The sequence below is a fragment of the Homo sapiens genome, chromosome 7 (genome assembly GCF_000001405.40).
Source record: "Homo sapiens chromosome 7, GRCh38.p14 Primary Assembly".
In the NCBI taxonomy this organism is placed as follows: domain Eukaryota; kingdom Metazoa; phylum Chordata; class Mammalia; order Primates; family Hominidae; genus Homo; species Homo sapiens.
This window is the reverse complement of record NC_000007.14, coordinates 95172874-95185857: the sequence shown is the minus strand read 5'-3', so window position 1 is coordinate 95185857 and position 12984 is coordinate 95172874. Positions and strand designations below refer to the sequence as shown.

Genomic DNA, 12984 nt, shown 5'->3' with positions numbered 1-12984 from the left:
CAGAAATAAACCCAAATATTTACAGCCAACTGATGTTTGACAAAGCAAACAAAAACATGAAGTGGGGAAAGGATACCCTATTCAACAAAAGGTGTTGGGGTAATTGGAAAGCCACATGTAGAAGAATGAAACTGCATCCTCACCTCTCACCTTATACAAAAATCAATTCAAGATGGATCAAAGACTTAAATCTAAGATCTGAAACCATAAAAATTCTAGATAACACTGGAAAAAACTCTTCTAGACATTGGCTTAGGCAAAGAGTTCATGACCAAGAATCCAAAAGCAAATGCAACAAAAACAAAGGTAAATAGATGGGACCTAATTAAACTAAAAAGCTTCTGCACAGCAAAGAATGTTTTCAGCAGAGTAAACAGAAAACCCCAAGAGTGGGAGAAAATCTTTGCCATCTATACATCCGACACAGGACTAATACCCAGAATCTATAGAGAATGCCAATCAGTAAGACAAAAAAAAAATCCCATAAAAAAGTGGGCTAGGGACATGAATAGACAGTTCTCAAAGAAGATATATATAAGTGGCTAACAAATGTATGAAAAAATGCTCAACATCACTAATGATCAGGGAAATGCAAACCGAAACCACAGTGTGATACCACCTTACTCCTGAAAGAATGGCCATAATTAAAAGACAAAAAACATAGATGTTGGCATGGATGTGGTGAAAAGGGAACACTTTTACACGGCTGGTGGGAATGTAATCTAGTATAACCACAATGGAAAACAGTATGGAGTAACTAACCTGCACAATGTGCACATGTACCCTAAAACTTAAAGTATAATAAAAATAAATAAATTAAAAAAAAAAAAACTTAAAAGTAGAACTACTATTTGACCTAGCAATTTAACTACCAGGTAGCTACACAGACAAAAGAAAGTCATTATATGAAAAAGACACCCACACACTCACGTTTATTGCAGCAGAATTCTCAACTGCAAAAAGATAGAACACCCTAAATGCCATCTATCAATGAGTGGATAAAGAAAAGCTGGTACATATATATACAGCATGGAATACTACTGAGCTATAAAAAGGAAGAAAATAATGACATTTGCAGCAACCTGGATGGAGTTGGACACCATTATTCTAAGTAAAGTAACTCAGTAATGAAAAACCAAACATCATATGTTCTCACTTATATGTGGGAGCTAAGCTATGAAGATGCAAAGGCATAAAAACGTTATAAGGGACTATGGGGACTTGGGAGGAAAGGTGGGAGTGGGATGAGGGATAACAGACTACACATTGGGAACAGTGTACACTGCTTGGGTGATGGGTGCACCAAAATCTCAGAAATCACTACTAAAGAACTTTTTCATGCAACCAAACACCACCTGTTCCCCCAAAACTACTGACATAAATAAATAAATAAAATGAAATAATTTTTTTAAATGAAAAAGCTACACCAGGATATAGTTACCAGTTCTTATATAACAAATAATTTCATTCAAACAAATATTTATTGTATGTACATTTAATACCTGAAACATATATCTCTAAAAAATAAAAACAGATGCACACAACTTATACTTGAATATTGGAATACCCTCGTGAACTATGGGTCACAAGATCCTAGAGTGTTTTAGAAAAGCACAGTGCCTAATTGTTTCTGTTTGATTATATTAAATGGCTTTTCTCTGAATTTGATAGCTTTTTAATATTTAACTTGATTTCGATGAGCATGTAGTGGTAAATTTAACTCCAGCCACTTTCACTAGTTTGCTGACAGTAGTTAAGAGTTAAAAGTCCTAGACAACCAAACTCTTGCTCCTTATTTGTAACTGCATATTCTTACATATTTTTCCTTTCTATATTGAGAGCTAGATTAATATACCTTACTACATACTTAACATTAAAAAATTTAAAAATTCATCTATGAAGATGATTGCTTTTGAAAGCTGGATCTGGCCACTGCACTCCAGCCTGGGTGACATGGTGAGACTCCATTTAAAAATAAAATAAAATAGAATAAAATAAAAAATTTTTAAAATAAAGAAAGCTGGATCTGAAATATTTAAATTTAATTATAGGCATTAGTTCTTTGAAATGAATTTCCTATCTAACCCAATACTAATTATAAGAATATTTTTGGCTGGGCGCTGTGGCTCACGCCTGTAATCTCAGCACTTTGGGAGCCCGAGGCGGGTGGACCACGAAGTCAAGAGATCGAGACCATCCTGGCCAACATGGTGAAACCCCGTCTCTACTAAAAATACAAAAAAGCCATGTGTGGTGGTGGGCGCCTATAGTCCCACCTACTCGGGAGGCTGAGGCAGGAGAATCACTTGAACCCGGGAGGCAGAGGTTGCAGTGAGCCAAGATTGTGCCACTGCACTCCAGCCTGGGCAACAGAGCAAGACTCTGTCTCAAAAAAAAAAAAAAAAAAAAGAATATTTTTGCCAGGAAGGGTGACTCATGCCTGTAATCCCAGCACTTTGGGAGGCCAAGGTGGGCAGATCACCTGAGGCCAGGAGTTTGAGACCAGCCTGGCAAACATGGTGAAACCCCATCTTTACTAAAAATACAAAAAAATTAGCCAGGCGTGGTGGTGAGTGCCTGTAATCCCAGCTACTTGGGAGGGTGACGCAGGAGAATCACTTGAACCTGGGAGGCAGAGGCTGCAGTAAGCCGAGATTGCACCACTGCACTCTAGCCTGGGTAACAGAGAGAGACCCTGTCTCAAAAAAAAAAGAAAGAGTATTTTTCTATGCTATATTTCATTGTAAACAAAAAGTTGAATTCTTAAAAAAAAAAATTGCCTAACACATGCTACTTCAAGAACTACACACTATTTAACAGGCATAAACTTAAGATATTTTCCAAAAATACTACATCCCTTCCAGGAACAACATTTCTCTGCTTAGTAGTTAGCCTTGATGTCTTAGGTTTAAATATTAATGTATATGAACATTAAAAAGGTAGTTTGCAAAATGTTAATCTGTATATAGTGACACCAGAAAATGCCTCATCAAGGCAAAATCACATTTAATTAGTTTTTTTGAAATCCTTGCTGGTTTTACTCTTTCTCTCAACAGTGGTTGTTGGCCATTCTGATATATTCAACATTAAGGAGATCTAACATCCATGATCCAAAATCCATAGTAGTTGCTTCTCTCATCTTAGGGCAAGCGGTAGTCTTAGGAATAAGTACAAAATCCACAATGGTGGATGATTTCCATGAATATGAAGATTCCCTCACTGCCCTCCACTGCATATAACACTTTATTATTCAAAATCACAAAACTAAAAGCTCTAATAAAAAGTGAAATTCTCAATTGCCCCTTGTACTATAGTGGCAACAAAAACAATGAAATGATATAAATAAAGTAAAAACATTTTGAGGTTTATTGCATTTCAAATGGAAATGATCTTAAGTAAATATAAAAGAAACAAAAGCTTCCATGTATAGAAATTACACATCCAGGTGTATATCCAAATATAAACGTGCATATCTATTAAAAAACTCATGTGTCATTCATTTATATTTTATTTTATTTTGAGACAGGGTCTCATTCTGTTGCCCAGGCTGGAGTGCAGTGGTGCCATCATTGCTCACTGCAGCCTTGAACTCCTGTCTCAAGCAACCCTCTTGCCTTGGCTCCCAAGTGTTGGGATTACAGGTGTGAGTCACTGCACCTAGCCTATATATACATTTTTATTTTTTTATTTTTCAGTTTATTGGGGTACAGGTGGTGTTTGGTTACATGAGTAAGTCCTTTAGTGATTTGTGAGATTTTGGTGCACCCATCACCCAGCAGTATACACTGCACCCTATTTGTAGTCTTTTATCCCTTGCCACCCCAACCTTCCCAAGTCCCCAGAGTCCATTGTATCATTCTTATGCCTTTACATCCTCATAGCTTAGCCCCCACATATCAGTGAGAACATACAATGTTTGGTTTTTCTGTTTCTGAGTTACTTCACTTAGTATAATAGTCTCCAATCTCATCGAGGTTGCCGTGAATGCCATTAATTCATTCCTTTATATGGTTGAGTAGTATTCTATCATATATGTATATATATATGATGGAATATATATATATTCTATATATATGTGACGGAATATATATATATTCTATATATATGTGACGGAATATATATATATTCTATATATATGTGACGGAATATATATATATTCTATATATATGTGACGGAATATATATATATTCTATATATATGTGACGGAATATATATATTCTATATATATGTGATGGAATATATATGTGTGACAGAATATATATATTCTATATATATGTGATGGAATATATATATATTCTATATATATTCTCTCTCTATATTCTATATATATATGATGGAATATATATATTCTCTATATATATTCTATATATATGATGGAATATATATATTCTCTATATATATTCTATATATATGATGGAATATATATATTCTCTATATTCTATATATATGATGGAATATATATATTCTCTCTATTCTCTCTATATATTCCATACATATTCTATATATACTATATATATTCTATATATTCTATATATATATTCTATATATATTCTCTCTATTCTATATATATGATGGAATATATATTCTCCCTATATATTCTATATATATTCTCTATATACTATATATATTCTATATATTTTCTCTATATATTCTATATATATTCTATATATATAGATAGATATATCTATATATATATCACAGTTTCTATATCGACTCTTTGATTGATGGGCATTTGCGTTGGCTCCATGATGTTGCAGTTGTGAACTGTGTTGCTATAAAAGTGTGTGTGCAAGTATCTTTATCATGTAATGACTTCTTTTCCTCTGGGTAGATATCCAGTAGTGGGATTGCTGGATCACATGGTAGTTCTACTTTTAGGCCTTTAAGAACTCTCCACACTGTTTTCCATAGTGGTTGTACTAGTTTACATTCCCACCAGCAGTGTAGAAGTGTTCCATGATCACTGCATCCATGTCAGTCAACATCAGTTTTTTTATTTTTTGATTATGCCCAATTCTTGCAGGAGTAAGGTGGTATCACACTGTGGTTTTGATTTGCATTTCCCCGATTATTAGTGATGTTGAGCATTTTTTCATGTTTTTTGGCCATTTGTATATCTTCTTTTGTTTTGAGAACTGTGTATGTCCTTAGCCCACTTTTTGATGGGATTTTTTTTCTTGCTGATTTGTTTGAGATTGTCGTAGATTCTGGATATTAGTCCTATGTCAGATGTGTAGATGGCAAAGATTTTCTCCCACTCTGTGGGTTGTCTGTTTACTCTGCTGACTGTGACTTTGGCTGTGCAAAATCTCTTTAGTTTAATTAAGTCACAGCTATTTATCTTCGTTTTTATTGCATTTGCTTTTGGGTTCTTGGTCATGAAACCCAAAACTGCCTAAGCCAATGTCTAGAAGGGTTTTTCCAATGTTATTTTCTAGAATTCTTATACTTTTGGCTCTTAAAGTCCTTAATCCATCTTGAGTTGATTTTTATATAAGGTGAGAGATGAGGATCCAGTTTCATTCTCCTACAGGTAGCTAGCCAATCTGTATCCCAGCACCATTTGTTAAAAAGGGTGTCCATTCCCCATTTTATGGTTTTGTTTGCTTTGTCGAAAATCAGTAGGCTGTAAGTATTTGGGTTTATTCCTGGGTTCTCTATTCTGTTCCATTGGTCTATATGCCTATTTTTATACCAGTACCATGCTGTTTTGGTGACTATGGCCTTATAGTATAGTTTGAAGTCAGGTAATGTGATGGCTCCAGATTTGTTCTTTTTGCTTAGTCTTGCTTTGGCTATACAGGCTTTTTTGGTTCCATATGAATTTTAGAATTGTTTTTTCCTAATTCTGTGAAGAATGATGGTGGTATTTTGATGGGAATTGCATTGCATTTGGAGATTGCTTTTGTCAGTATGGTCATTTTCACAATATTGATTCTACCTATCAATGAGCACGGGACGTGTTTCCATTTGTTTGTGTCATCTATGATTTCTTTCAGCAGGTTTTGTAGTTTTCCTTGTAGAGGTCTTTCCCCTTCTTGGTTAGGTATATTCCTACGTATTTTTTTTTTTTTTTTTTGCAGCTATTGTAAAAGGGGTTGAGTTCTTGATTTGATACTCCACTTTGTTGCTACTGGTATATAGAAGAGATAGTGATTTGTGTATATTAATTTTGTATCCAGAAACTTTGCTGAATTCTTTTATCAGTTCTAGGAGTTTTCTGGAGGAGTCTTTAGGGTTTTTGAAGTAAATGATCATATCATCAGCAAACAGTGACACTTCTGACTTCCTCTTTATGGATTTGGATGCCCTTTATTTCTCCTCTCTGATTGCCCTGGCTAGGACTTCCAGTACTATGTTGAAGGGGAGTGGTGAGAGTGGGCATCCTTGTCTTGTTCCAGTTCTCAGAGGGAATGCTTTCAACTTTTCACCATTGAGTATTATGATGGCTGTGGGTTTGTCATAGATGGCTTTTACTACATTGAGGTATGTCCCTTGCATGCCAATGTTACTGTGAGTTTTAATTATAAAGGAATGCTGAAGTCTGTTGAATGCTTTTTCTGCATCTATTGAGATGATCTTGTAATTTTTGTTTTTAATTCTGTTTATGTAGTGTATCACATCTATTCACTTATGTATGTTAAGCCATCCCTGCATCCCTAGTATGAAACCCACTTGATCATGGTGGATTGGCTTTTTGATATGCTGTTGGATTTGGATAACTAGTATTTTGTTAAGGATTTTGGCATCTGTGTTCATTAGAGATATTGGTCTTCAGTTTCTTTTTTGGTTATGTCCTTTTCTGGTCTTGATATTAGGGTGATGCCGGCTTCATAGAATGATTTAGGGAGGGTTCCCTCTTTCTCTATCTGGAATTGTGTCAATAGGATTGGTACCAATTCTTCTTTGAATGTCTGATAGAATTCTGCTGTGAATCTCTCTGGTCCTGGACATTTCTTTGTTGGTAATTTTTAAATTACCATTTCAATCTCACTACTTGTTATTGGAGTGTTCAGGGTATCTAATTCTTCCTGATTTAAGCTAGGAGGGTTGTATCTTACAAAGAATTTATCCATCTCTTCTAGGTTTTCTAGTGTATGCACATAAAGTTATTCATAGTAGCCTTGAATGATCTTTTGTATTTCTGTGGTGTCAGTTATAATAGCTCCCGTTTTGTTTCTTATTGAGGTTATTTGGATTTTCTCTCTTCTTTTCTTGGTTAATGTTGCTAATGGTCTATCAATTTTATTTATCTTTTCAAAAAACCAACTTTTCATTTATCTTTTGTATTTTTTTTCTTTCAATTTCATTTAGTTCTGCTCTGATCTTGGTTATTTCCCTTCTTTTTCTGGGTTTGGGTTTGGTTTGTTCTTGTTTCTCTAGTTCCCTGAGGTGTGACCTTAGATGATCAGTTTGTGCTCTTTCAGTCTTTTTGATGTAGGTGTTTAGGGCCATGAACTTTCCTCTTAGCACCACATTTGCTGTATCCCTGAGGTTTTGATAAGTTGTGTCACTGCTGTCATTCAGTTTGAAGAATTTTTAAGTTTTCATCTTGATTTCATTTTTGACCCAATGATCATTCAGGAGCAGGTTATTTAATTTCCATGTATTTGCATGGTTTTGAAGGTTTATATTGGAGTTGATTTCCAGCTTTATTACACTGTGGTCAGAAAGAGTGCTTGACATAATTTCAATTTTCTTAAATTTATTGAGGCTCATTTTGTGGTCTATCACATGGTCTATCTTGGAGAAAGTTCCATGCACTGTTGAATAGAATGTATATTCTGTGGCTTTGGATGGAATGTTCTGTATATATCTGTTAAGTCTATTTGTTCCAAGGTATAGTTTAAATCCATTGTTTCTTTGTTGACTTTCAGTCTTGATGACCTGTCTAGTGCTGTCAGTGGAGTACTGAAGTCCCCCACTATTACTGTGTTGTTGTCTATCTCATTTCTTAGGTCTAGCAGTAATTGTTTTATAAATTTGGGAGCTCCTCTTTTAGGTGTGCAGCTCCCAAATATGTTTAGGATTGTGATATTTTCCTGTTGGACAAAGCCTTTTACCATTATATAATGTCCCTCTTTGTCTTTTTTTTAATTGCTGTTGCTTTAAAGTTTTGTCTTTTGTAAGAATAGCTACTCCTCGCTTTTGGTGTCCATTTGCATGAAATGCCTTTTTCTGCTTCTTTAAGTTTATGTGAGTCTTTATGTGTTAGGTGAGTCTCTTGAAGGCAGCAGATAGTTGGTTGGTGAATTCTTACCCATTCTGCTGTTCTGTTTCTTTAAAGTGGAGCATTTAGGCCATTTACATTCAATGTTAGTATTGAGATGTGTGAGGTACCATTCCATACGTCATGCTATTTGTTGCCTGTGTACCCTGGTTTTTGTTTGTTTGTTAACTTGTATTTTTGTTTTGTTGGTCCTGTGAGATTTATGCTTTAATGACATTTTGTTTTGATGCGTTTCCATGATTTGTTTCAAGATTTAGAGCTTCTTTTAGCAGTTCTTGTAGTGGTGGCTTGTTAGTGGTGAATTCTCTTGGCATTTGTTTGTCTGAAAAAGACTGTATCTTTCCTTCATATTTGATGCTTAGTTTCACTAGATACAAAATTCTTGGGTGATCATTGTTTTGTTTGAGGAGGCTCAAGATTGGGCCCCAATCCCTTCTAGCTTGTAGGGTTTCTGCTGAGAAGTCTGCCATTAATCTGATAGGTTTTGCCTTACAGGTTACCTGGTACTTTTGTCTCACAGCTCTTAAGATTCTTTCCTTCATCTTAACTTTAGTTAACCTGATGACAATGCGCCTGGGTGATAATCTTTTTGCAATGAATTTCCCAGGTGTTCTTTCTGTTTCTTGTATTTTGATGTCTAGGTCTCTAGCAAGGCCTGGGAAGTTTTCCTCAATTATTTCCCCAAATATGTTGTCCAAACGTTTAGATTTGTCTTCTTCCTCAGGAACGCTGATTATTCTTAGGTTTGGTGGATTAACATAATCCCAGACTTCTTGGAGGCTTTGTTCATATTTTCATATTCTTTTTTCTTTGTCTTTGTTGGATTGGGTTAATTCGAAGATCTTATCTTCAAGCTCTGAATTTCTTCTACTTGTTCAATTCTATTGCTGAGATTTCCCAGAGCATTTTGCATTTCTATAAGTGTGTCCAGTGTTTTGTGAAGTTTTGGGGTTTTTTTATTTATACTATCTATTTCATTGAATGTTTCTCCCTTCACTTCGTGTATTGTTTTTTTTTTGGATTTCCTTGCATTAGGCTTTGCCTTTCTCTGGTGCCTTCCTGATTAGCTTAATAACTAATATGAATTCTTTTGCAGGTAAATCAGGGATTTCTTCTTGGTTTGGATCCACTGTTGGTGAGCTACTGTGATTTTTTTTCTGGGGGGGAGGGGCGGTGTTAAACAGCCTTGTTTTGTCATATTACCAGAGTTGGTTTTCTGGTTCCTTCTCATTTGGGTAGCCTCTGTCAGAGGAAAGGTCTAAGGCTGAAGGCTGTTGTTCAGATTCTTTTGTGCCATGGGTGCTCCCTTGATGTAGTACTCTCCCCCTTTTCCTGTGGATATGGCTTCCTAACAGTGAAGTTGTAGTTACTGTTATCTCTCTTCTGGATCTAGCCACCCAGCAAATCCACCAGGCTCCGGGCTGGTACTGGGGGTTGTGTGCACAGAGTCCTGTGATGTGAACCATCTATGGGTCTCTCAGCCATGGATACTAGCAAAATATTTGGGGTGTCTCCTGGGTCCTGCAGGAGAAATCTGCTTCTTTCAGAGGGTCTGTGGGTCCTCTCGGGTTTTCTGATTATTCCTGCAGTCGTTATGGAGCTAAAATTCATGATGAGAGCCTACACATCCTGCTCTGTCTGTCCAAGTCAGAGCTGCAATCTAGTCCTGCCTCCTGTCGGCCATGATCCCAGCCTATATTTTCTTTTATGTATTTTAACCTTTTCCAAAAAAGATAAATATTTAAGACCCTCAGATTAATTATTTTCTATTGTTATAATTCCTAGAAAATTATGACCATCAGAAGTTATATGGTTCCCTGTCAAAGTTATTAAACCCATATGCTAGGGATAAAAGTGAAATGAATGCATAGTTATTGATCATGGGTAGCAGATAGTTTCTTGAAAGCATTTAAAGTTTAATGTGAATGACACTGAAGAGCAAACATATAAATCATTGAAAATTTCTTCAAATTGAAACAAAATCTCTGTCTTATATCAAATTTTGCCAAATTGCTGACAGTACTAGAATGATTGTCTGGAGTTAAAAAAAAATCTAATCCTTTTTCCAGAGTTCACTTTTTCAAATGCTTTATAATTATTACCATGTCTTTTAAGTTTTTTTTTTTTTAAAGGCAAAGGGTTATAGAATATTTTAACTTTTATATATAGAAGGAAAATAGTTATACCTCTCACCATCCTGGTCAATCTTTCCTAAATAGTCTCAAGTTTTTCAGGATTAAGTTGGGTATGCAACATAAATTAAATTATATTGTGGTATAGCATTAATCTATTTGCCCATCATCTGTCTGCCTGACTGACCATCCCTCCACATCCATCCATCCATCCATCCATCCATCCATCCATCCATCCAACTAGTTATTGATCCGTACTATGATAGGCTGCCTCTAACATAGACCCAAGTGATCCTTGACTCCTTTTATTTAAGTCTGAATGTAATTATCTATCCTTGCATGTAGGCTGGACATATTAACTCACTTTTATCAAATAAAATACAGAGCTGACGGGATGTCATTTCAGATTTTAGGTTACAAAAAGATGGCAGATTGCATCTTGGGCACTCTCTTGTATGACTTTTTGGAGAAGCCAGTTTTCATGTTGTGAGAGGCCTGGCAGAGGGGCCCAAATGAGTTCGCTGGGAAGCGGATCACAGAAACCATGAGGTAATAAAAGTTAGTTGTTTCAGGTCACTGAATTTTATAGTAATATGTTACACAACAATAGGTACACCAACTATGCCAGTGGTCAACAAGACAGGCAAGGTCCTGTTTATAGCTGTAGACTCAAGAAACATGAGTTTTCAAAAATTATGTTGCAAATTCATGTTTGATAAAAAAATTAGATGCAAGAAATTGTACAGAAAATATTTTCTGGTAAAAAGTCAATAATAATATTTTAAAAGTAAAAGTACACAGAACCATAAAATCTAGAGATTGCTAATGAAATTCACATTGATTACATCTGCCTTTGTTAAAGAGACACAGTCCTTTTCACATCACTATCACTATCAACAATAATCAATTCGTATGGTGCTTTTTAAGTTAACGATAGCTATTATCTCACATTTTAAAATTCAGTTTTACTGAGTTCAATCTATATACATTAAAATTGATCAAATTTAAGTTGTATAATCTGAGGAGTTTCGATAAATGTATACATAGTTGTGTAAGAAATACAGTAATCACAATATAGAACATTTTCATCACCTCAGAAATGGTCCTTCCTTCTTGTTTGCAGACAATTCCCTCCCTTCGTGATTCTGAGCAATCATAGATCTGCTATTAGCACAGTTTTGTATTTTCCAGAATTTTATACAAATGTATTCAAACAGTACACAGGCTATTGGCATCTGGCTTCTTTTACTCAGTATAATGGTTTTGAGAGTCATACATGGTATTGAAAGGATTGGTAGTTTGTTCCTTCATATCACTGGGAAATATTTCATTATATGGGATATAATACAATTTGTATATCCATTTATCAGTTAAAGAACACTTGAGTTGTTTCCAGTTTTTAGTTATTATGAAAAAGCTGCTATGAATATGCAAATATGAGTCTTTATATAAATATATGTTTTTATTGTTCTTGAGTAAATACCGAGGTGCGGAATTGCTAGCTGGTATAAGTGTATGCCTAACTTTGGAAAACCCTACCAGACTGTTCTGCAAAGTGGTTGTGCTATTTTGCATTCCGATCAGCAAATAAATGTGAACCTCAGTCCATATGCTTATCAATGCATAGTGGTATCAGTCTTTTTAATTTCAGCCTTTTTAGCAGGTGTACAGTAGAACCTCATTGTGGATTTAATTTACCTGCCCCTAATAACTAATAATGTTAAGCAGCATTTCATGTTTAATGGTATATCTACTTTGATGAACTGTCTCTTTAAGTGATTTGTACATTTTAATAGGACTTGCACATTTAAAAACTCCATTATATAGTTGTTATAATAATCTTATTGAATTACAAGAGTTCTTTATCAGAAAATTGTTTTACAGATATTCATTCTGTGGCTTGTTTTTCCATTTTCTTAAGTGGCTTGTTTTTCCATTTTCTTAAGGGTATTTTGTAACAAATGTTTTAAATTTTGACGCAGTTTATCATTATTTCCTCTTACACTTTTTGCTTTTGTGCCCTAAAAAAATTTTTAAATTGTTATATTGCATTAAAAATTTTTTTTCATTCATTTAGAGGGTATATATGCAGATTTGTTACATGGATATATTGCATAGTAGTGGGGTTTGAGCTTCTAGCATACTCATCACCTTAACAATGAACATTGTGCCCAACAGATAATTTTTCAACATTCATCCTCCTCCAGTTCTCCTCTTTTAGAGTCCCCAGTGTATATTACCTACAGCGTTTCCCTCTGTATGTCCATGGATACCCATGTCTAGCTCCAATTTATATATGAGAATATAAGGTATTTGATTTTCTATTCCTGAGTTATTTCACTAAATCTAAAATTACAGATTTTTGCCTGTTTTCTAGAAATCTTAGTGTTCTAGCTGCTGCAATTAGGGTTGTGATCAGTTCTAAGTTAATTTTTATATATACTGTGAGATGAAGGTCAAGGCATTTTTTGGTTTGTATTTTGTTTTCAATGAGACTATTTAATTTTTTCAGCCCCATTTTTTGAGTTAACTATAATTTCCTCCACGGAATTACCTTGGTACCTTTATAAAAAAAAATCAATTCTTCATATCTGCGCAGGTCTGCACTGCAAAGTTCTATTC

At 34.9% G+C, this 12984-nt stretch overlaps 1 protein-coding gene and 1 long non-coding RNA gene across 48 annotated transcripts in view; one reads left to right on the top strand and one right to left on the bottom strand.

The window, feature by feature from the left end:
* Positions 1–12984, bottom strand: part of PPP1R9A (protein phosphatase 1 regulatory subunit 9A) — a 389180-nt gene that overhangs the window by 110558 nt on the left and 265638 nt on the right. The window lies entirely within an intron of this gene.
* The window catches only part of PPP1R9A-AS1 (PPP1R9A antisense RNA 1), a 178641-nt gene that overhangs the window by 28475 nt on the left and 137182 nt on the right, over positions 1–12984 (top strand). The window contains exons 2-3 of one of the 4 annotated variants that reach the window (NR_183326.1): positions 9327–9365; positions 10769–10911. The exons of 2 other annotated variants lie outside the window; for them this stretch is intronic. This is a non-coding gene — a long non-coding RNA (PPP1R9A antisense RNA 1). The remainder of the gene's footprint in view (positions 1–9326; positions 9366–10768; positions 10912–12984) is intronic. One more of the 4 variants, NR_183324.1, reaches the window with a different exon arrangement.